We start from the raw sequence: 25,691 nt of genomic DNA on the forward strand, positions 1-25,691 counted from the left end.
AACTTGAGAACACACAAGAATAGTTTATGAAAATGCCAATTCTCAGGATGTTCACCTAAATTTTACTATTCTACAGGGCCCATTGAGGTCCATTGAACAGATTTTTTTACCAGCACCTAATGAGTCTTATGCAGATGTTTTGGAGACCATACTTTGAGAAGCAGTGTTCTAGAAAGGTAACTCTGGCAGCAGAGCATGAAATGAATGAAGGAAAGTAAGAAGGCAGGCTGGGCTCACCATCAATTGGCTTTGTCCATGGGCAGAACTTTTGCTCATATACCACGGTCGGTCATGTGGGGTGCAAGTGAGTGGCAGTATTCTCTAGAGACAGAAGGCATCATAGGCTCATAGATTTTCCTCTCCATATTTGCATGTTCTTCCATTAAAATGATAAAAACCAGTGTTTCATTTGCTTCAATGTCTTACAAAAAGCCTTGCTTTGACATTTTTACTCAGAACCTGTCCCCTCAGTCATAAGTCCTAAGAATGACAGGATGGGAAGCAAATCTGAGCAAATATTCCTATTTTCTGTATTTCTCTTTCTTTTTTTTTTTTTTTGTTTGTTCGTTTGTTGAGACAGGGTCTTGCTCTGTTGCCCAGGCTGGAGTGCAGTGGTGTGATCTCAGCTCACTGCAGCCTCAATGTCCCAGGCTCAAGTGATCCTCCTGCCTCAGCCTCCCAAGTAGCTGGGATTACAGGCACCCACCACCACACCCAGCTAATTTTTGTATTTTTAGTAGAGATGGGGTTTTGCCATGTTGCCCAGGCTGATCTTGAACTCCTGAGCTCAAGTGATCCTCCCACCTCGGCCTCCCAAAGTGCTGGGATTACAGGTTTGAGCCACTGTACCTGGCCCTGATTTTCTTTTGATAGAATGAGTTTGCTCTCAGGTTTGTTGGCTCCTGATGCAAATACATTTCTGATGGTCTTTTTTCACCATTTCTTCCAAAATGACCAGATGTTTTTGAATTCCATTGGGGAACACAGCTTAGGCTCTAATGGGAACCCCCAGCCCACATACATACCAGTAATTGTGTACAATGCATGATGAACAGATCTGTTTTCCTGTCTTCACCTATAGAGTTCCAGAGCTCATCTGGTCTAAGTACAAATCTGAAGCCTTGGACTCACCACTGGAGTTGGTCTTGCTGCCAGTGTCCCTAGGTGGAGCCCTCAGTGCATGTTTACTGACCAAGTTGAGTTTTCCCTCATCCCTATCTACCACAGTCACCCAGTTGTTGCTTGGGCCTTAGTTTGCTGATGGACACTCCAGATTTTTTTCCTTGGGACTGGAGCTCTTCCCTAAGCCACATCCTCTTACTCTGGGCCTTAATTCATGACCTAACTCTCTCTAGGTCCCTCCCCACCAGGCTGAATTCTGCTCTAAGCCAAGGGGGGTCATGAGAGTCTCCATGTTGCAACCTGCCTCACTGTATGCCTGGTACCTGGCCTGGAACTATGCCAGATTAGAACTCTTGATGTTGATGTTGGCTTGATTAAACTATTTTTGTTTATTTCATTCCTTAGGGCACTATAGTTTTTCTTTCTGATCACCCTACTCCATAGTCATATTAGTTCCCAGGCCAAGCTCTGCCTTTTCCCAGCTCCATCCCTTACAAGGCTATGAAGAAGGAGCTAATGGATCATATTTCTAAGCCCAAAGAGATGTGCCATTACACGAAGTCAAAATGCTGTTGCAGTTCACAGAAATTAAAGTTTGTTATATTTTAAGTCGACTCATGATGCAAATTCACATAAAATTTTGTTAAATGCCATAAAGAAAATCCAAACTTGTCTATTACTTTTCTGGGAGGACCCAAGTAGAGCTATCTCCACTCTCACTTCTCGTCTCTAAAACTGGACAGGATATGCTCTTCAAACGTGACTATCTTAAATTCAGGGGAGGAGAAATGAGAATTTCTCCTCAGACATCCTGAGATCATGTGCTCCAGCACAGATTTTATTAATGTTATTTTGCTTTCCATTTGGCAATTGTTTCTTGTGTGGCCAGCTCTACAGGTTAGGATGGAGACACCATCCTCTGTCCCAGAGACAGATGGAGTCAGTAATAGAATTTGGGTACCAAACCCCAACTCTTAACTCTAAGACGATATATGTGAATGTAATCTGTGAACTTCAGGACACTCTTCAAACTGTGATATCATAGTTATTTCAGACTTAACATAAACGAATTAAGAATGGTCAATATGTTGTTGACAATACAACCTACTCATTGCCTCTCTGCAAGGTTTTTGGATGTGCCTCTTAATCCTCAAAGGACAGAGAGGATCATTACTTTTGTCAGAGTCTTAGAGAGGGTTTGGACCAAGAGGACACTGTTAATAAATGCTATGAACCCTTTGTCAGGAAGCTACTATATGAATACTAAAATTCATTATTACCTTACAATGTGCACAAAAGAACACCTTCTCATTGTCACCTTAGGGGCAGGAGAAAAGTAACAATTTTATCAGCACCTGTGATTCTCTGACACAGAACTCTCTCCAGGAAAGCTGTTGCATTTTGATAGACCATCAATCTCAGCTCTTGGGCAATTGGCTTCCACCTAGCTGATGTGGAAATCAATCTTGGTTCCCAGAGGGCAGAGCAACTGTTACCAAAGGTTACAAAACAATTGCAGTTCCTTTTCTTCAGAAGCTAGTATAAAAGGACTTCTACCAGTCTTGGATAAATTTATCTCTCTGCTCTGCTCTCAGCTCCTCTCCTGGCCAATTTAGGAGAAAGAATGATGGAATCCAAAACACTGATGGTAGGAAAGTCAAACGAAAGGGCTGTCATTTTTAAAAAATATGATAACAGAGGTTAAACTGAACTTAGAAATATGGAAAATTATGCTATTTCAAGTTTCTCACATATCTGCCATGAATTCAGCCTAAGGCTAAATTCAACATATTCCCACTGTGTTACACATGCTGAATTCTGACAATAGACAATAGCATCCCAACAGGACACTTATAATCAGCTGGGTCTCCATCTCCGTATTTCCTTTATTTAGTCTAATAGATTGCCAATTTCTGTCATTTTCTTTCCTTTTCTGTCTCATCTATCTCTATTTTTCCTTTCTCCCTGGGAGAAATAAAACACAGAATTTCACCTAGATTATTGAGATAACTTTCTTAAAGAATCCCTACTTCAAGACTTTTCCTCCAATTCATTCATCAACTGATCATTGCAGGCCTGCTTTGTGCCAGGCATTTTTTTCCCACATCCTGAGAGGTGCATATTATATGTCCATTTAATGGATAATGTTGCTAAGGCCCAGAAAGGTGAATTGCATAGGACACTCAAAGTTACATACTTAACACTTGGCAGGTCAGAATTTGAATTTGGGTCTGTAGATGCCACATTTTACTGTTTGCCATTCCATTACATCATGTTCCTTCCACCTGACTTCCTTGTGGGCCTTCTCCAACAAAACGTTCACTATTTCACACCCCTCTCAAGTCTCCAATGGGTCGCCCATTACCAAATTCCTATGTCTGCCATTAATATAACCTGATGCCAAAGTCTATGTAAGTCTGATTGGGCTGCTATAACAAAATATCACATACTGGGTGGCTTAAACAACATACATTTATTTTCTCACTTTTCTGGATGCTGAGAAGTCCAAAATCAAGTTGGCAGCAGGGTTAGTGCCTGGTAAGGGTTCTCCCCTTGGGTTACAGTTACCTTTTTACTGTGTACTCACATGGCCCTCTCTCAGTGCTTACATGGAGAGAGAGAGAGAGAGAGAGAGAGAGAGAGAGAGAGAGAGAGAGAAGAGAGTGCATGAAAGAGAGCTCTCTGGTGTCTCTTCTTATAAAGACATTAAACCTATGGGATCACAGAACTGCCTTTATGACCTCATTTAAACTGAATTACTTTCTTAGTGGCCCAATCTCCAAATATAGCCACAATGGTTTTAATGCTTCAATATATAAATTTTGGGGTACATAAACATTCAGTACATAACACAAAGTATCCAAGTAACCCCGTATTTCTCTCCTCCTTCTTAGAAACTTTTCACCTGAAAAGCTGGTCTGTTATACAACTTTGCCAATCATCATGGACAGTTCATGTCTTTTGCCACTTCTGGACCATTGTTCTTATAATTTCTCCTATAATTTGGAAATGTTTTTCCAACTCCTTTCTACCTATTAAAATTATACTCATTTTTAAGCCAAACCTTATCCCACATCTTTCTAGAACTTTTAAAAATGATTTTCCTGACCCCAATGACATTTTCTTACTCTGAACTCTGGAAGCACTTACTATCTGCACAGAAGGCTGTATACAGATTACTTGGTGTCACTGTTGATTTTTCCCAAGGTGCTTCTTGCTAACAGATTCTCACTGTACATGGACACCTTGACGTTACTTGAGATAATGTGGACCAATGATCAGCTAGGCCCCACTTCCTGCATTCCTACAACCTGCTCCTTTTCTCATGACATAGATTTCACTGTGTTGCATGAGGCTCACTCATACTGAGTCTTTTAAAATTTTCTTTCTCCTTTTTCCCATGTCCAATTTTTCTTTAAATAATTATACTTTATATCCTATGTTTCAGTCTACTTGCTCCTTTTCTTCTTTTCTAAAAAGCACCATCTTAAGTTCTTTTTACCTCACTTGCATAGAGCATCTGGCATTCACTCTCTCCCTATCTTAATTTACTTCCATATACCAGCCAGTCAGTCTCCCTCCATAATTACCTATTCTATTATGCTCCTTACTGCATTGTTCAGCTCTTTTTTCAGATCCTCTGGTTTACAAGTTTGGATGTAGTATGGAAGCCTCATTCGATACCACTAGATTATAAATTCTACATGACCTTTTGCTGCTGCTGTTATCACTTGGTTCATGCTTCATAGAAACTTGTTGCTTGGTTGAACACCATTCTCATTTCACTCCTCATCTCAAAGTCTTACGGTAAACCCATTGCCCATTTTGGCATCACATTTCTACTTGCTCAGATGCATTGTTAAAACCTAAAATCAATTCTCTGTCTTCACGTCACTCAGTCATGCTTTGCTGATTGCCTTCCACATTTTCCTCTACCATAGTCTCACTGCTCCAAAAACGTGAATCTGACTAGACTCACTTACCCTTGCCTTACTTCTGACCTGAAGGATCCCACACTGTCTTCTAACCTGGGTGTTGGAATCTCTTATGTTCCAGGCAGTTGTGTGCTTGTTGTCTCCAACACAAAGACAGAAATGATTGCAAACCATAGCAAAACATGACAATGCAACATAAGCCCACAAGAGCAAAAAAGAAAAAAGAAGACAGAATTTTAATTTCTATGTATGATTCCTGATAGCTCAATTAGGAAATGTCTGAATTGAGATTTGGCTTATGAATCCAATCCTTAAACCAGGCAGAGTCACATTTGAAACAGGAGTTAGGGTTTAAAGACAACATGTAAGGTGGAAACTATGCAGAACATTTCTTAGAAAATGTTGGACTGACACATAATCCCTCCCTCAACAAGTTTGACATGGAAGTTTCTCCTGTTTTTTTTTTTAATTGGAAACTAGATGAAATAGTTGGCATGAGTTGAGGACACATGTTGTACCAAAAAAAAATGTGACTTTAAATAACAAGCATCATTCAGCTCAGGAAAATGTTCACATTATGAAAGTCACATAAGATACGACACAGGCCTTGAGAAGAGCAGATTCACATTCATTTTAAAGTATAAATTCATTGTCAGAAATGGCAAGCTCTTTCTACTTTTCATACTGCACAGAGACTTGGCTGCTACTTTTTCCAGTGCACAGAATAGCTTACGTAGCAGGTACTCAATAAGCACATGATTAAGTTTAATAGTGTCGCCCTTGCAGTTCAGAAATCAGACCCTCACAGGTGTCTCCCTCTTTTCCCCATTTCTCCACCTTTGCTCCATCAGGCACTTGAGTGCATCAGGGACCTCCCATTGCCACCGCTTGTACAGCATGGCAGAGCACTCAGGGCCAAGCCCACAGGAGTATTTCCTGTGTGGTCTGGCGTGATAGGAATATTTGCACAAATTTTCTTCATTTACAGCTAGAAAAAAGAACTGAAGGCTCCCCCAATTAGCCTCCATAAAAAAGTGCTAGTTAAGGAGACAGTAGTTTATGGAAATGTTGCCTGTAATAAAACTCTTTAATAATTTCACTATTTTGTAGGTCTTAGAGAAAGCACATTACCCTCACATGAGCAATGAAAGCCCATGAAATCTTTCAATTTCCTAACTCTGAAATCTTTTCAATTTCCTAATTCATGTAGTGATCATCCCCTTAAATTTTCATTAAGGTAGAAAGAAATGTATAGTCTTGTCATATCTATATAAGTTGTCTTGAATTTATAAATGGGGATTTCCCAAAAATTTACCTGTAAGTCCCTTCTTTGGAATTTGGAACTATTTCCCCATAGAAACGATGTAAACCATGGTATTCAAGTCTCGGGCCAGCCCACAACGGCCTTTCCAACCTGTGGTGTAGGTGAATTGGACAGATAAAATCCCTAAGCCTTGAATAGCACAAGACCTAGCCTCAGCTCTATGGGACAAAGACATGGGACCCAGGCCCTGAACTTCTGCTCCTATTCCATGAATCTTGAGAAGGATAAGATCAGAGACTGGAGGGTCCCTCAGTTAGAGCTCAAGGCAGAAGAGAAAAAGGCTCAAAAAGAAGCTGGAGACTCAAGAAGCATCTGGGGAGGATCTGGTATAATGTAAATGAAGTCTGTCGCATCAGGTGCTTAGAATTGCACAAAATCTCCCATCTTTGCTCTCTTCCTATCTTTCTATGTTGTTTTCTTCTCTTGAAAGAATAGGGGCTTTGAAACATTCCCTTTCCTACTGGGTGAACTTAGCTCCTTTTTGGATGCTTATGCTCTTTCATATATCATATGGAGATAATATCCAACTTGCAAGTGGTAGATATTAAATACAATTTAGTTGGTACATAGTAATATTGTAATACATAGTAATATTGTAGTACATAATAACTAATGTTATTATTACAATGCTGCTTTACCTAATAAATTGTAGAAGAATTTGAAGACCAGGCAGTTTTTACAGGCAGGCAGCCTCACTATTGTAATATTTTTCAATGTTTAATGTATTAGGTACTAAACCAAAGTACAGGCAGCCCCAGAGAGGAAAGAACAAAAATAATCACTTGGAATGCAAATATGCATGTTGCAGCACCCTAGCTGAAGACAACTCTGCTGATTTTGCTAATGTTGGGCAGTCTCTTCAAATGAAATATACTGCCCTAGTCAAAGGATAGGCTTGAGCTGCTCCTCCGTTAGGTTCCTGGGTTGACCAGAATTCTTCATCCTCATGAAGTGGGCCCTGTCTCTAAGATCATATGTGAGATGAAGGTAGTGAACCCGTAACCTTGTCTCATTCATCCTTAACATGATCTCACCTTCTCCCATTGGCTGCTGGAGATGCTGACCAGGCCAGTCTTCTACATGGTAAATCTAGCCTCATGGAATTTTCAACTTAGCCTCTTTGTTTTATAGGCTTACAAAAACTCTCATATAAATAAAATCCTTTGTTTCTTATTGTCCTATGCCAGTAAGTCCTTGAAGCTACAACTATTTATTGTCTTGCACTATGCCTGCTGTTCAGAGTTCTTTTTCAGTCTGGATTCCCTAGTTCTCTGTCAACCTGGCCATTTCCACTAACCTCAGAGGTGAGGGCCATTGCAAAAACAGTAAGAGGCTTAGGAATTTAATCAGTAAAACTGAAGCAGCTGCTGGTGAATATCTTTCTAAGCTTTTACTGTTGATGACTGAAAACGCCATGTAGCACATGGATGACAGAGAGATGACAGGTCCAAGTCATAAGGTAGTGTATAGAAGCAGACAGCCTACTGCCCAGGGGGAAGGGCTTTGGGTTTCTCATTAGGAAAACTAAGGTCTAACTTAGCCACTACTTAAGATGTGACCTCTAGCAAGTACTTAATCTCATTGTACTTCAATTTCATTACCTGAAATAGATATCATAATACCTGCTCCAACTATCTGTATTGTTTTCTAGATCAAATTAGATAATAGGTAACATATTTTGAAAACATACAGTATATTACACTAAGCATATGCAAGGAATTATATTGTCAATCATGACCATTATTATAAAACTATTCCATAGCCTGTTAGCTTGCTCTGAAGACAAATGCCATGTTGACCTCTTCAGTATGCCAGCTATATTCCCAAAGGATACACTGACCTTTTTGATACAGTTTTCTGTTTTTTGGTCTATTGCATTCTCTGTTTATTGGCCTGTGTCCTGCCTTGCCAGCAGTAATCAGCTTTCAGCTTTGTTTATAAACTCCTAATTGCAGTTATTTTTCTTTTACTAGATATTGGCATCAATTAATAAATGTTCATTGAGCATCTGCTATATGAATTAGACAGTTTACTGGTTCCTAAAAATGCAAAGATGACTAAGGCACAGTCCCTAAACATAAGGAATTTATAACTGATCTCAGGATTTCACAGTAAGGGAAGAAAGAATAGGAGATACACAGGGATATTCTCAAGGGCTATGTTTGGGGATAGCTTTCATCCCTTCCATTTACACTCTATTGGACAGAAGACAGTACACAACCCTAACATAGCAATAAAGGAAGGTAGAAACTATACTCTTCTTGTGTGTCCAGAAAAAAAAAATGATAAAACAGAATGTGCTGACCATTTAGCATCGCTTCTGTCATATGATCCAATACAAGATTGATTTTGGTATATACATGGCATTAAGGGAGCAGAGACAATGCAGTCATTACATTGCTGAAAGGTTGGGGAAATTGATGTTACAGCGGAGACTTGGAAGATGATTGTGCTTTGCCAACGACTGAAGTAGAAGAAGGGCACTTCAGAAGAAGAGTGTGGAACAATTGCTGAGGCATCAAGAAGCTCATGCTGTTTGCAAGAACTGATTTATTAAGTTGAATTCTATAGCTTCATGGAATATGATAAAATACAAAACTGAAAAGCTAGATTGGGAGTACATTTCTAAGGTCCTTGAATGCCAGGTTAGAATTTAAATTTATTTTGCCATGTGGTAGGAAGCTATTAAAGATTTTAAACACGGAACTTTGGTGTGATTTGAAGAGAAAAATCCTCTGATGGCAGAGTACGGAGGAAATTGTAGAGTGAGAGACTAATTAGGAGATGAACTATGTCAATGGTTTTCAAACAGAGCTGCATGCCAGAATTTCCTGAGGAACTTCACAAATACAGATATATAGGCCCTTCACTGAACTAATTCAATCAGAATTTCTGGGACAAATACTGTGTTTTTCAAAATGACTTAGGTGATTCTCATGTAGAACCAGTGTTGAGAGTCACTGATCTATACCAACAAAATTATAAAGGCTTCAAGAGCAGTTCTGTGTACTCGACATATTAACTTCTGTATTTGGCAAATAGTAAGAGACCACGATACTTTAATTCATTGACTGATGCATACTCCTGGTCACGAGTAAGGTTTTCCCAGTGCAGGTCTGTGTTAAACCTTGTTCGGGCTTTGTTCATAGGAATAAATTACTTTGGGTAGCAGTTTACACTGGTTGGGGGAAGCAAATGACTATGTCCAGACCTCGTGCTTGTCATTGTCAAATAATGTTTGTGTGTGTATGATTAGATGAGAGCAAGCATAGGATTCATCAACAATTATTGAAACACCTTCTAAAGTCTCATCTGTTTTAAAATATCTACTTCAACAACATAAAAAGGACTCATTAGTCTACCTCCAAATCTTTCTGATATTCATCAACTTCTTCAACCCCTCCCCCTCGATGAATTTCATGGGGCTGTTATTCACATCCCTTACCACTTCCTAAAGTTCTTGGATCTCCAGCCCTCCTGGTCACTATCTTCCTTTTTCTGGTAGCAGAACTGCTCCCCTCCTCCAGAGTGCTCCTGATCAAGAAGAGTGGGTATGCATCTTCCCTTTAAGAATGGGATCCTCTTGGCGTGGAGCTCTCTCTGGAAATCCCTTAGGCAGATGGGGTCTGGATGTTCTGGAAGTGTTCTTTATCACCTTGGATACCCACTAATATCTTAAACTTGTCTCCTTGAATGGCTCTTGCTACCCTCTCCTACTGGCTGTTCCATCACAGCCCCAGGGCTCACTTACATTTCAAAATAGTTCCCAATATTCACATTTACCATCTGGTCCTAGAAGGTCTCTCCTCAACAAATAGACCCATTTGCAATTAGACTGCAGTCTTATGCTCTCAAAAGCAGTGTCTCCAAGGAGTTCTCAGGGAGAGCTGCAGTACCATACAGCTTTAAAATAATGAAATTCTCCTAAGCCTCCATAATTTCTTTAGAAAATCAAGCCTACATTATGCCACATGTTATAACACTCTAGACTGGCCCCTCATCACCAGGATGCTGTGCCCTGGTATGGTAGTAGAGAGTCCTTCACCTCTTTAGCATCTGTGGTCAGATGCAGCAAAGTACCACATTCCTTTTCACCTGCTCCCCACAGGTTGCAAGAAATATGTACACATTGGCTGCCTGGAACACAAATAGGCATCTCAAAGCTTCCTACAGTTAATACACAAATTAAAATTTTATAATGACCCTGGCTACAGTTATATTTCTCTATTATCACTTGAACCTGCCTTTTTTCCAAAGCAGTTGTATATTTTAGGTTTTGTACTATATTTACAAAGTATGGGGACTTAAGGAAATATGCCCTAAATAAAGCACTATCCGAAAATTTCTTACCTACATTTCTATCCATGATGCTCAGAGAACAGTATTCAGTTTATGAAAACAACAATCTCCTTATGAAAGATAGCACCAGATGCTGCTTAGGCTGCAGAATTTGCAGCTGTGTGTTAGTGTTCACTAGCTCGTGACTGGTTTGTCACTTCTCTATGGCTTTCCCCTCTCCTGGGAGTGTGAGAAGTGGGAGAGCATTGCAGCTGTTTTATCTCCAGCGCTCTGTGGAAGGAACTCAATGACTGCTGCTGCATTCAGAGGTTGCATATCAGCTGCACCGCTGAGCAGCTGGAAATGAAGCTGATGAAAATTTTGGCTATGGTTATTCTACACGTTACGGGTCTTCAAGACCTGAGTCTTTTCAGAAAACATGAGTGGAATACAAATAGTTGACATCACACATACACCTCTTGCAATCTTTCAACACTGCTTTCAAAGCAAAAAAATTCCACTTCACAGGAATATGAAGCTGCCAAGTGTGAAGCCTGGTGTTCTCATTTGCATATCAATCCCAGAATGCTTTTCCAGCCTCAGCCTTTCTGAGCTTGAAGTTTTAGGCAGAATAAAAGAAAAGGCTCAGGTGTCCCTGTACTTTTCGAGTTTTGTGTAAATTGTATCTATGATAGACAAACAAGAGAAGTAGGGATTTTTCCCTTTGTCCCAAGCTTAGAGTGACTTCAAATGAAAAATGAGAGTTTGGAACAAGTAGAAATAGCATCATATTCACTCATCACCATTTGAAGTAACATTTCAGTGGTTGGATTCTAGTTACCTCCAATCTGTTTTTATCTCTCATTTCAGTTGCATACATTATAGATTCAGAGATATTGAGAACTGGAAAGGTCTCTACAGATAATCTAATTTAAAGTGTTCCCCTGTCAATGGGTCACCATCATCTGTGTAATCCTAAGCCAGTTACTGCCACCAGCTCTGCTCTCCAATGAGTATACTGTTAATATTTACCTCCAAAGACAGCTGGAGTGACAGTACAATCAGCAGGGGCTACATCTCACTGACAATGGTCATTGCTCAGTGACCAGGGAGTATTTTTGACCATTCCACCACAACCACCTGCTTCATGAATGTATAGCTTTAGAGCCATGCAATGTCTACATCTTCAAAAAAAATGAAAAGTACAATTTTCTTGATCTTGACTGTTACTTTGAAGGGAAGAAAACTGAGGCCAGAATGAGTAAGGTTTTCTCAAGGTTTTGTGGAAAGTTGGAAGCAGGGTCAAGATGTAAACCTAGGTCTCTGACTCTTAGTTAAGAGTTATTCTGCACTCCACACAAGGTGTGCCAGTCACTGCCTCAGGCCTTGAGACACAGCATTGACCAAGAAAAAATTGAGACTTCTACCTTCAGAGAGCTTATACTCCAGCAGCAAATAAAGACATTAGTTACAAGCAGTCACGATCAGTGGTGAATCACATTATCATAGTTGAAATAAGTTGTGCCTTTTTGTCCTCCAACTTCCAGGTAGGAAAGAAAAAATTCCCCTGCGTTTATTCTTCTTATGGACATCTAGATAAAGTGTCCAGTTAGTGAAATACAATCCTAGTGACTCAAGTGCCAAGACAGACAAGGATTTTTAGGGCATTTAATTGATTGCTTAATTAATGCAGTTGCTTAGGAACCTATTATTTGTCACACACTGTATTAGGCATCAGGAATTCAAAGATAAGAAAGATAAGATCTCTACCTTAGAAGGAACAGAGCACAGTGAGTCACATAAGTGAATGGATACTAAGGATGCCATGTCATGAATGCTGTAGGAAGTAAAGGTTTTTAGAGAATGCTATGACAGCACAAATGAAAGATCAATCCAGAAGGTGAGGGCAGAGAGGACAAAGAAGACTTTGTGAGTTAGTGACATTCAGCTGGACATTGGAAGACATGAAATGGAGTATTGTGTGTGAGCCAGACTACACATCAGAACAAGAGCACAAACTGTGGCTGCATGAACATCATTCATGACTCTCAGTTTTGGTCTGCATTCTACTGTATTAAATCTAATTCTACATATTCCCCAAGCAAGCAACAGATACCAGAGGAATGACCTCTTCTCAAAGACCTACGCCATAGTCTAGCACAGTAGTTAGAGGAGTACACCCTGAAACCAGACATCCTGGGTTTCTAGCTTTGAGTTTTTTTAGTTTTGTGACTTAAAATTTTTGTTTCCTATTTTCCTCATCTTTAAAATGGGCACAGTAAAATAATAAGGTTTGTATTAAGGTTAAATGAATTGATGATATGAAGTACTTAGCTCCTAGCACATACTCAATACATGTTAGCTTTTATTGCTTGGAACCATGGTGAGAATTACTAGTCTTGAATGCTTTTGGCTCCTGTTCACAGAGGTATGTACTGCAATGTCTTCTTTCAGGTGCCTTAAACGAAAAAGCACTATTGTGGAGATCTTGGGGCTGTCAATCTATACTGTTGGGGAAATGGGATAAATTTTCCTTGTTTCTTAAAAACTGCATGCCTCTAGTTCCCTGGGATGGGGCCAGCAGGGATAGGAATGTGTTTTTCCTTTTCCACATTTCTAGTTGTGTTCACTGTTTTTACCAACATCTATTTACTCTGACTAAGATTTGTGGGCAGGTTGGAAAAGTCATCAGAGGGAAATCTGGTAAATGACAGGTGTCATATAGTACTTGTTAGCCCTGCTCAGTTTAAAGGCAGCATTGAGGCTCTCCTACATCCTTTCTTCCATCCCAACCCCTCCAAAATAAGTTTTTGTTTTGTTTAGTCTGTAGTATTCTTCTCACACATTTTACCATCTTCAGTCTATAGAAAGTAAGATGATTTCTTTCAGTCTATGAGAGCCCTGGATTCCTATTTGGCCACATAAACAGAAGTGTTGCTGTCCAAAGCCTGACTTGGGGCATGTCTTAGTCAGTTTTGGCTACTATAACAGAATACCATCAATTGGGTGACTTAAACAGGAAACATTTATTTCTCATGGTTCTGGAGACTGGGAAGTCCATGATGAATGTGCTAGTTGATTTGGTGTCTAGTGAGGGCTCTTGTCCTAGTTGGTAGAAGGATGCTTCTTTGCTGTGTCCTCACATGGCAGAGGGGGAGAGATCATCTTTCTCATGTCTCTTATAAGGTGTCATGGACTGAATGACTGTGTCTCCCCCAAATTCATATGTTGAAGCCCAATACTCAATGTGATGGTATTAGGAGGTGGGGCCTTTTGGAGGTAATTAGGTCACGAGGGTGGGGCTCTCATAAATGGGATTAGTGCCCTTATAAGGAGAGACAAGGAAGAGATAATCTCTATTTTTGCCATGTGAGGAAACAGCAAGAAGGCATTTATCTGTAAATCAGAAAGAAGCCTCCTACCAGGAACTAAATTGGTACCTTAATCTTGGACTTTCCAGCTTCCAGAACTAGAATTGTGAGAAATAAATTTCTTTTAAGTCACCCAGTCTATGGTACTATTATTATAGCAAATCAAAATGACTAAGACATAAGGGCATGTATCCCATTCATGAGGGCTCCATAATCATGACCTAATCACCTCTCAAAGGGCCCACTTTCAAATATGATCACACTGGGGATTAGAACTTTAACATGTGAAATTTGGAGGAACACAAACAGTCATCACAGGGCAGTTTTCCCGGACTGGCCTCTTCTACCTGGGAACCATACTCCTCACTCAGTTCCCTGTTTCATTCCCTTTCCTCAGAGCTCCTACTATTCTCCCTTCCATACTGTCCTCAATATTACCATCCAATATATACACCCAAGATTTCAACTGACCAAAAACATACATGTTATTAAATTATATTGACAATACCTACCTTACATAACATAATTTACATTCAATGAAGCTACATTTTACTTAATCATCAATTTTTGTTTCTCGTAAGCCCATTTTTAACAGAAGTAATACAAACACACTTTTTACCAACAATAGTTTCCAGACATGACAACTAGACCCCTGACAATACAACCTTGATAAGTTGCCAACTCCCCCACACCCTTGGTCTCTAGCCATTGTCTCTTCTCAGACAAACTTTAACACAACCATTAGCCTTGCTACAAATTAAATGCTTGGTCCTGGTCATTTGTGGAATTATTCCAAATAAATATATAATGTCAACGATTGAATTTTTACTCTTTCATAAGCATTTTAAGCTATCTTCATTAAAGAAAGATTGGTTGACTATGAAAATACTGACAGCTTAACACATCTGCATTTCATCAGTAATACAGAGACACAATATTCCTAAGAATATATTCTATCTGGAGAGATAACCTTGCTTTGTGCTTTAGCAAAAGGTGACTTGCTTCTTTTCCTTGAAATGGTGAGTGCTATCTCACAGAAAAATTGCAACTGTTCATACAAGATGAGTTTTGAAGAGGGAGCTTCTTTGAAATGGTGATGAATCACATAGCAGGTAGGAAAAATGATTAAAGGACTCAAAATAATTTTGAAACTCCTTAAACCTAGTAGTTCTCATAAGATGTTTGACACCACGTTTTGTTGGACAAATAAACAACTTCAGCATTCAATGTTGTTCTTCCATTTTTTAAAGATGACTTCGAACCTTTACCTTACTAACTTTTCCAAGTAGAGGATGAGACCCACTGTTGGCCTGTGAAGCCAGAGATCACACACACATGCAGACACACACACACACACACACACACATGCAAAGGGATATGGATACGTTTAAAAGAAAACCAGATGATGAACTCTAGCACATAAGCCACTGGATTCCTGAGGCTTGATTTCTCCTACTCATCTTATTCTTATGTCTTGAGAGTTCCATTTTCTGACTTTCAGATCTATTGCTTCATGAAGTCCCTGGCACAGGATTTTTCAGAAGCTCTCTGACTTTTGTGCCTCCCAGTTCTGACATAAAATTACAATCAAGGTACATGTTTAGGCAATGGATTCACCTTATGAATTTTAAGACACGTCTGGAGAACAAAGATGTACAATAGCCACATGTCGAGGGTATGTACTGAGGAAGGGAACTGCACACAGGACCAGAACATGCACCCCCTGTGCCTCTGGGCCCACTCTGGGTTTTACTTCTTGTCTAACATTAGACTAGTTGATTCATGCCTTCATTGTAGGTGATTTTGTTCAATAAGAGGAAAACATTCAGTGTCCTTCACTTCCAAGACCAGTTCCACCACAAAACAACTAGTGAGAACTTAACTTCTGAAAGTTGTTAAATATTGCAATGGGGTTGTCATTTATTGAGATGTGGTTAATTACATATACTTAGGTAGAGTCAGGAATTTTTTGATGAGTTTATAAACTTCATAAAGTATGGTTAGTTAACAGTTTGTTTTTATTTAATTCTCCCAATAAAAGTCCTTGCAACATGAAAAGGAAAAAAAAAGGCAGGAATTGTGTCACAAAATTTATGGATTTAGTCAAATTGAATCCTGAAGGCAATATATCTATATTAATATTTGACAGCACATTACTGAGAATTTCCAAAGTCTAAGGATATGAGCTGGGTTTATCCACCCCTCTTTAATTTTTACGACTCCTATGTCATTACTAGCTCACTGAAATATTAATTAATCAGAGACCAATATATTGTTATGGTTCATTGAATTTTCCAGTTAATTGCGGGTTAACTAGAAAATGGTTTGTGTTTCAAACTTTATTGAAATTCTTACTACAATGCCCGATTTTATGACATAATACAGAACCCTTTATTCATTATTCAACAAATAGTGGTTGAGGGCTTGCTGTCCTGTGAATCAGTACTGAACACTAGAGACACAGACCCAAGAGACTTGGCCACCCAGGAGTCAGGAAGGATGACTCACCATTGCAATGAGTGGGCCACAGAGTCTGGGCTATGTGACCTGCAGTTTATGCAAGGGCATCCCAGAGGAGAGGCGTCCACACGGCCCGAAAACTAAGGGAGGGTGAGACCCGCAGGAATGAAGGACCTTCCAGAGATAGGAAAATGCCATGTGTGAGGCATAATTGTATTCAGGGACCTATGAATAATTCAGCATGCATGGAGTATGGTAAGAATGGGAAATAGTGAAAGGTGAGAGTGGAAGGTTATGCTAAAGACCATGGACAAGGATCCTTGTCTTGTAAGCAAGGAAATAATATAATACATTGTGTATCTCAGAAAGGTCTCTTAGGCAGGCTTGTAGGGGGCTGATTAGGAAGGGAGAGGGGAAAAGCTAAAAGCAGGGAGATGAATTGGAAGAATGTGGTGGCAATTTGGGTAAATGTTATGAGGCTCTGTACTGGCTAGTGATAGAAAGGAAAGGTAAGATAGGAAAATACCTCTTTTAGATCAGTGATTTTCAGTGTGATCCCATGAACAGTAACATTAGCATCACCTGTGAACTTGTGAGACCTGCAAATTGGAGACCTACTGAATCAGATCTCCAGGGCTGGAGCCAAACACACTGATTTAACAAGCCTTCCAGGTGATTCTTATTCTAAAGTTTGTGAGCCACTGCAATACATTGATTTATAAGATTTTCTAACTCATTTGATGTTAGGAGAAGAACAGGATGAAGGACGCCACGTAGATGTCTTTAGTATCTGGTTAAATGTTTAGCAAATTGTACCATGGATGACTCAGGGTCTCAGAGTCATTGTTTGACACATTACTTAGGATTTTTATGGGAACAGGGATAATTTACAGATATATATATACATCCTACTATTGCTTCTCAAATGAACCCCAACAGCTTTTGTCTGCAGTATTGTACTAATGACCTCTCCATGCTGAATCCAACAGTTATTTCTAAATGGCCAAATGTGCTTTTTAAAAATGTCTATTTATTTTCAGGACTTCTATATCAGTGACACAGATAGCTCAGTCAAATTAAGATAGTTCAAGGAGAGTCTATTTACAAAGAGACAACTTACCAAGGCGCAAGTGTGGCGTAGAGGAAGAACAGGTGATAGGGCAGGAATTTGGGGCCATCAGGAATAGAACTTTCACCACCTTTGAAAAGATGAGGGCAGGAAAAAAATTCCTCTGAAATTCCAGAGGAAACAGAGTCATACACTGCAGGACAACTGGGGAGGAGCAGTGGCTTTCTGGTCACAACCAGGCTGAGGCAATTGTACAGGGAAGGAATCGTGAATACATTCCCTAACCTAATAGTTCTCAAAATGTTGCCTCCAGACCAGCAACATCACCTGAGACCTTGTTAGAAATGCAAATCCACAAGTCTTATCCAATAATTAGATAAGAATCAGAAACTGGGGGTGGGGCTTAGTACTTTAACAACCCTTGCAGGTGATTTTAAAGAGCCACTGATTTAATCTCATTCCTTTCTTTCTAATCTTCTATTGGGGCTCCTTCCCACTGGCCAAACCCAAGCAGACAATGGACGGAATGGAAATCAGTTTCATTAAGATCAGCCTTCTTGGAGACAGCCAGGTGGAAAACGCTGAAGAAAGCACCTGGCCAGGCAAATGCATGACACTTTAGCACAACCTCACATAAATCAGTTTTCTGCAACCTCACTGGCTGCTCCTGCTGGTTTCTTGCTATTCTCCGACCTTCTTTTTTTTTTTTGAGACGGAGTCTCGCTCTGTCGCTGGGCTGGAGTGCAGTGGCGCCATCTCGGCTCACTGCAGCCTCCGCCTCCTAGGTTCAAGGTCTCTGACCTCTTAATGAAAGATGCCCCAGGGCTCAATCTTTGAGCCTCTTTTCTGTCTACTCTCACTCCCTTTGTGATTTCCTCCAATCGCTTGGCTTTAAATGCAATCTCTTATATACCAACAAACTTTCAAATCACATCTCCATACCCTGGACTGGTAAATCCAACTGTTGACTTGACTTTTCTACACACATGGTTAATAGGCACCTCTAACTTACCACGTCCAAAATTAAGCTCCAGATCTCCCCCTATAGCCAAACCTTGTCCTGCCACAATAGTCTCCATTTTAATTAAAGGCAACTCTATCAAACTTCTCTCAACCCCAAAACCTTAGAGTCATCTTTGATTCCATCCTGTCTCTCCCATCCTGCCTATCCGTAAACAAAATTTGGCAGTTCTATTTTTAAAAATATGTCTAGGATTTGGTCACTTGTTACCTTCCCTGCTGCTACTACAGTGTTCCCAGCCACTATCATCTCTTGACAGCATTACTGTTGCAATAACCACCTTCCAGTTTGTCTCCTAGCCTCTGCCCCTACCCACTTCAGTCTATTCTCAACATAGCCAAAGTCGTTTACATATGAGACAAATCATGTCATTCCTTACCTCAAAATCATATGGAGATTTCATGTATCAGTCAAACAACATTATGCTGCAGTATCAAAAATAGAAACAACGTTAGCTAACACCACAGATTTTTTCTTTCTTTCTCAGGCAATATGTTTAGTGTGGGTAATGAAGGGCTCTGCTAAACACAGTCACTCAGCGAACTAGGGTAGTAGAGGCTCTGCCTTGACATGTACTTCCATCCTCTCTGTAATAGGGAGAAGGGGACTAGGCAATATGCAGTGACTCTTAAAGATTTTACTCCCACCCAGACTTGACACATCTCACTTCCACTCTCATTTTAATGGCTAAAGTGAGGTACCGTGCTGTGCAACAAACCACCACAAAATATCAGTGCATGCAACAATAAGCATTTGTTTGTCATGCCTCTCCAGGCTGGCTGGGGGTCAAGTGATTTAGACTGGGCTAGACTAGGTGGTCTGCTTGAAGCTGCATGTCCTCTGGGGCAGCTCTGCTCACCATGTTTCTCATCTTTCTCCTAGATTCAACAAGCTAGCCAAGACATGTTTTTTTGGGGGTGGTGGCAGAAATTCAAGAGAGAAAGCCCCACTGGGCAAGCATATCTCAAACCCTTGCATGCATCATGTGTACTTATATCCTGTTGTCCAAAGCAAGCCCCATGGCCAAAACTACAACCAAGAGTCAGAGAACTATATTCTGTCTATAGTGAGGCCAGGCAAGGGTGTGAAAGCAAAGAAAGGGTGGAAGAATTGGAGCACTAACCCAGTCTCTCACACATAGTCACACCTAACTTTAAGGGTGCAGGAAAATATAATCCTCTATATGCATGGAAGGACAACTGAAAATATTTGTTGACCACCCCTTGAAATCTTTTGTGGTGAAAAATCAAAGTCCTTACAATGGCCTAAAAGTTTCAATAAAATATGTCTCCCATTAACTGCCTAACTTTATCTCCTACCATTCAATCTAGCTCACATCATTCCAGCCCTTTACCAAGCAAGCTTCTACCTCAGGGCTTTTGCACTTACTGCTCCCTCTGCTTGGAACACTCTCTCTTTTTTTAAATAAAGATATTTGCATGACTTTCACCTTATGTCTTTTGGGGCTTTTATTTTAGATGACCACCTTACAAAAATTGAATTATCCTCCTCTACTGATCCCCTTTCCCTGCTTTTATTTATCCATATCCTAAAAATATTTCCTTCTCACATACTATAGACATTTTACTTACTTGTATGCCTTCTGTCACTATAAGCTACACAAAGACTGGAATTCTGTTGTGTTTTGTTCACTATCCACAGCACCTATAATTGTGCCTGGCACATAGAGGAGTAGGCATTTAGTAACATTTTCGTTGAATAAATGAATACCCTGAAAATTGGTATTTTTCTCATCGGAAACAGTTATTGCCTTTATATTTTGAAAGTTGATTCTGATGCCTTCTAAATCCAATTCAGCCTATTCGGACTGGCTGGTCCCTCCACATTAACCTAGAACTTCTCATTTGGCAAAGGCACCTTTCTGGAATGAATGAGGAGATCTCAGAAAAAGACAGAATTTTATTGCTTTCACCATCCTCTAAAGTCAGTGGTTCTCACATAGGTACGAATTTTTCTCCCCAGGGGATATTTGGCAATGTAGGGAGACATTTTTTGATTGTCACTAATGAGGGGGAAAGAGTGCTACTGGCATCTAGTAAGTGAAGGCCAAGGATGCTGCTAAACATCCTGTAATGCACAGGACAGCCCCACAACAAAGACTTTTCCAGTCCAAAATGTCAACAGCTCTGAGCTTGAGAAATCTGTTCTAAGGGGAGTGCAGAGGTTCTGGTCTTGGCGGCTCTGAAAGTTGTTTCAGATAAATGTTTTATTACTATCAGTGTTACACTATAAGTACTACACAGGCAAGAAGTGAGATGGGTTTATTCATTGGTGTGTGCTGAGCACCTTGTACAGTGCCTGAAACATAATGGGGTCTCAAAAATAATTGTTGAATGCATTAATGAACAGAGATGTCCTATTAAAACACTAAATATTATGTTGCATTATGCTGATTATTAAGCCTTGCTTCACTTCCTTTACTCTATTTTAAGATCTGATTTAGACCTATAATAGTCACGGCCCTGTGGCTTTCAGTCTGTTTTTAATTTCTACGAGAACAGAGAGGAAAATCATATGAGTCTCAGTCTTGTGCAAAGGCTCATATATTCCACTAAAATGTCTGCAGGAGAAAAAAATGTTTCCTCCTATGGATAAAACAGGAAATGAGTTTGGTTCTTGTAGAAACTAATGTGGTGAACTTGAGGTATTGGAATTTAGAGAATTATTTTTAGTTTGTTTTTGAATCCATTTTGGGGTAAATAGTTGACCAAAATATTTCCTTTTTTTGTTTGTTTCTTCTTCTTTTTTTTTTTTAACTAATATACTTGCTGATTTCGTCTGGACTTTTTTTCATTGCAGGCTTTGGATGAGTGCAAGCTGTATTTCTCAGCAAAGCTAATTTGTTTACCGTTCCTTGTCAGGGTTTTCTGTAACTGTCAAGTGTCTTCATTTAGCCATGTTTGTACATGTGTGTATATAGGGACAGGCAAATTGTAACATAAGCCTTCAGTTTTTATTTATGTAATGAACAAGATTATATTTAGTGTTCAGATAAGGTTTAAATGGGGGTTTCAGTTAATACCCAAAGTTATTTATTCCTATGTGTCAAGGGCAATCTTTCCCAGGAGACCCAGAAATTAACTCTTTTTTTTTTTCTTTAAGAAAAAACCCAACCCTAGAACCTAGGATTTAGTAAAACACAGTGAAAGTCTGAAGAAAACTATGGATTCTCCTGTTCCTCAACTCTTTTCCTATCACTGTCTTCCCAATTAGCAAAAGACTCCAACAATCAATCACCTAGGAGTCTGGCCCAGATCCATGGAGACGTTCCTGATTCCTCTCTTTCCCTCACACTCCACATTTAAAGCTTTGCTTTTCAAATATGTTCTGAAACTACCTGCTTCTCACTTCCTCCACTGCTGACTCTCAGATGAACCCTGCTCTCCCTCCTGAGCCTATAAATGGTGTCTCAGCTTTTACTCTTGCTCTCCTGCAGGCCATTCTCTACACCAGGGATCTTGTACCAACTTGTCATATGACTTATTTTCCCTGCTCAAAACTCTCTAAGGACTTACTGACACATTTAGAATCCAAACTCCTTACCATGACTGCTAAGATCCCATATGAACTGGCACTGCCTAATTCTTTCACTTTTTGTCTTTCACTGAGTTCCTTGCCCCTTCCACCCTAGCCGTCTTGCTGTTCCTCACACTATCCGAAGCTTGTTTCGAATTCGGGGCCTTTGCACTTGCTGTTCCTTTTGCCTGGAGTGCTCTTCTTCAAGATATTTCTGCCTATAGTTTCCTCACTTCCTTTAGGTCTCAGCAAAAATGTTGCCTCCTCAGAGAGGCCTTCTGTCACCTATTACCATAGCATGGTCTAGATGCTCTCAGGAGACCCCAAAACCTGTGAAACTAACTTGTGCTTGCAGCTGTGCTTGCTTACAGATAAGAAAGCAGAATGCCAGAAACTGCGAGTTAGCCACAAGACCAACTAAGTGCAGAAGTGCTGCCTTGACTTGAACTCTTGCATAGGTGCACTGAACTCATTTCTTGCTTCATTACCATACTAAAATCTCCACCCAGCAGGGAGAAATGTACCTTGTTAGGCACAAAAGGTGCTGGGTGCAAACAAAAAGACATGACTGCACACACTCTTTTCCCTCCTGGAAGAGCCCACGTTTTTCCAGGAATCCCTGCCCCAGTCTCCACCTACCTGTCCTGGGAGCCCTTTAAATCTCCCTCTACTTGACTTCCAGGGAGATGGTGCTTTGAGCACGAGCTCCCCTCCCCTTCATCATTCTTTGATCACGAGTAAAGTTTCTGTTCTGCTTTACTTAACCTGGTCTGGTTCTATTGGCACAAATGACACTGGGCAGGGAAAGAACCCATTAGGATCCAATAACCTCCTGGGAGGGTCAGTAACACTTCCTTTGCTCTTCTAACTTGCTTTGTTTCTCTTACCGCCCTTATCATTATATGAAATTATATATGTGTTTATTTCCTGTGTCTATCTTGATGCAAATTTTATGAAGGCAAAAACATCGTGCTGTTCATTATCTTGTTCTTTGTCCCTAGTGCCTAGAATTATGCTTACAACGTAGTAGATGCCCAATTTCTGTCAATTAAATGAATAAAGCTTGACCAGAATGTTCAATGATGACCTCAGGGTCCATGCTTGGAACTGCCCTGTAGATGAGAAGGCTTCTTAGAGCAAATTCTTTAGTTCTGCCTCCTATGCAATGGCTTACACAGATGGTATTATAATATGATTAAGGATGTGGGTTACAGAGGAGTTATCTGGAGTTTACTACCTATTGACTTACTTTGGAGAAATCTCTGTCTTCATTTTTTTATACTTATGAAGCACAATAAATATCATTACATTGTTTCTAATAAAAAGCTTTACTATCCCAGCACTTTGGGAGGCTGAGGCAGGCAGATCACGAGGTCAGGAGATCAAGACCTTCCTGGCTAACATGGTGAAACCCCATCTCTACTAAAAATACAAAAAATTAGCTGGGCATGGTGGCCTGCACCTGTAGTCCCAGCTACTTGGGAGGCTGAGGCAGGAGAATGGCGTGAACCCGCAAGGTGGAGCTTGCAGTGAGCCAAGATCGCACAACTGAACTCCAGCCTGGGCGACAGAGTGAGACTCCGTCTCAAAAAAAAAAAAAAAAAGCTTTAGTATATATTAATGTATTTCATTTTCATAAAAGTCATGTATTAGAGGGTTATTATGAAAATTAAATATATGTGAGCTTCAGAAAAATTCCTGGCACATTGTAAAATGGGCACTACTATTACAGTCCATTTCCATTATTCACACCTTCTGTATTTGCATATTTACCTACTCAAAATTTATGTGTATCCCCCAAATCCATGTGCGTGGTTTCTCGTAGTCATTTGAAGACATGAGCTGATATGGTTTGGCTCTGTGTCCCCACCAAAACCTCATCTTGTAGCTCCCATAATTCCCACGTGTTGAGGGAGGGACCTGGTGGGAGATGACTGATTCATGGGGCAGGTCCTTCCTGTGCTGTTCTAGTGATAGTTAATGGGTCTCATGAGATATGATGGTTTTAAAATCGGGAGTTTCCCTGCACAAACTCTCTTTGCCTGCTGCCATCCACATAAGATGTGACTTGCTCCTCCATGCCTTCCTCCATGATTGTGAGGCCTCCCCAGCCACGTGGAATTGTAAATCCAATACACCTCTTTCTTTTGTAAATTGCCCAGTCTCAGGTATGTCTTTATCAGCAGCATGAGTAAAATTGAGTTACTCATGTTCCCAGCTGAGGAAGGACAAGGTGACACTGCCTTCTTGTTTCAGCTCTCATACTGTAAACGAGTGTCCTTTTCACAGTTGATTTACTGCCATGTTTTTAACACTTTTGTGCTTTTTGTTGAAGATTTTGCCATTTAAAATGGCTCCCAAGCATAGTTCTGAAGTGCTCTTTGGTGTTCCTAAATGCAATAAGGCTGTGAAGTACCTTATGGAAAAAAATATGTGTTAGGTAAGCTTGGTTCAGGCATGGGTTATAATGCTGTTGGCCATGAGTTCAATTTTAATGAATCAACAATATATATTAAATAAAGAATTCTTAACCAGAAGCACACAATAACCAAGTAGACTGGTGGACCGTCTGAAAGTTGATGAAAATGTGACCAGAGGCTTGCACAACCCTAAGCCAGGATTTCTCTGAGCAGCAGTGAAAACAGTATTTGCTAATTCAGTGAATCTGGCAACTTCATAGAACACAAGTGCCACAGACAACAATAATTTAATGTACAGTTGTCCCTTGATATCCACAGGGGATTCGTTTCAGGACCCCTGAGGATACCAAAATCTGGGGATGCTCAAGTCCCTTATCTAAAATGGCGCAGTGTTTACTATAACCTATGCACATCCTCCCATACGATTTAAATCATCTCTGGATTACTTATAACACCTAGCACAATATAAATACCATGTAAATAGTTGTTATACTGTGCTGTTTTAATTATTATTTAATTAAATTAATTAATTATTTTATTTATTTTTGAGATGGAGTCTTGCTCTGTCACCCAGGCTGTAGTGCAGTGGAGCAATCTTGCTCACTGCAGCCTCTGCTTCCTGGTTCAAGAGATTCTCGTGCCTCGCCCTCCTGAGTAGCAGGGGCTACAGGAGTGCACCACCATGCCTAATTTTTGTGTTTTTAGTAGAGACAGGGTTTCACCATGTTGGCCAGGCTGGTCTCAAACTTCTGACCTCAAGTGATCCGCCTGCCTTGGCCTCCCAAATTGTTGGGATTACAGGTGTGAGCCACTGAACTTGGCCAGTTTTTATTATTTTTATAGTTGTATTATATTTTTCATGTTTCCAAATATCTTTCATCTGCTGTTGGTTGAATCTATAGATGTGGAACCTGTGGATATAAAGGGCTAACTGCAGTTCTCTTTTCACTCACCTATCAACTCCTTGAGATAGTGGTTTTCACTCAGCATTTTCATGTAATCACAATTCCTCCCTCCAAATATCTTATCATCTGACTCACATTTCCACCATATGACATTCTCAGAGAACCAGAGACGGGTTTGGCCAGACATCAGAACTAATGAGAAGGAGGGACTCCCTCAGGACTTTCTGTGTGTTTGTGTCTTTCTTCCTT

At 40.1% G+C, this 25,691-nt stretch overlaps 1 long non-coding RNA gene across 2 annotated transcripts in view, besides 2 other annotated features; it reads right to left on the reverse strand.

Annotated features, from left to right (window-relative positions):
* Window positions 1-25,691, reverse strand: part of PDGFDDN (PDGFD downstream neighbor) — a 45,563-nt gene that overhangs the window by 14,957 nt on the left and 4,915 nt on the right. Inside the window, exons 2-3 of one of the 2 annotated variants that reach the window (XR_947960.3) lie at window positions 18,960-19,005; window positions 17,611-17,689 (exon numbers count right to left, since the gene is read on the reverse strand). This is a non-coding gene — a long non-coding RNA (PDGFD downstream neighbor). Of the gene's footprint in view, window positions 1-17,610; window positions 24,149-25,691 lie in introns of those variants that run through there. The other variant, XR_001748348.2, reaches the window with a different exon arrangement.
* Window positions 14,884-15,084: a silencer, noted in NCBI's record as "peak1441 fragment used in MPRA reporter construct". NCBI's record gives its function as "represses an SCP1 promoter by STARR-seq MPRAs in K562 erythroleukemia cells {active_cell/tissue: K562}" and the evidence as "EXISTENCE:reporter gene assay evidence [ECO:0000049][PMID:32103011]".
* Window positions 22,012-22,271: an enhancer, noted in NCBI's record as "active region_5454". NCBI's record gives its function as "activates an Ori minimal core promoter by ATAC-STARR-seq in GM12878 lymphoblastoid cells {active_cell/tissue: GM12878}" and the evidence as "EXISTENCE:reporter gene assay evidence [ECO:0000049][PMID:35858748]".

The sequence above is a fragment of the Homo sapiens genome, chromosome 11 (genome assembly GCF_000001405.40).
Source record: "Homo sapiens chromosome 11, GRCh38.p14 Primary Assembly".
Classification (NCBI taxonomy): domain Eukaryota; kingdom Metazoa; phylum Chordata; class Mammalia; order Primates; family Hominidae; genus Homo; species Homo sapiens.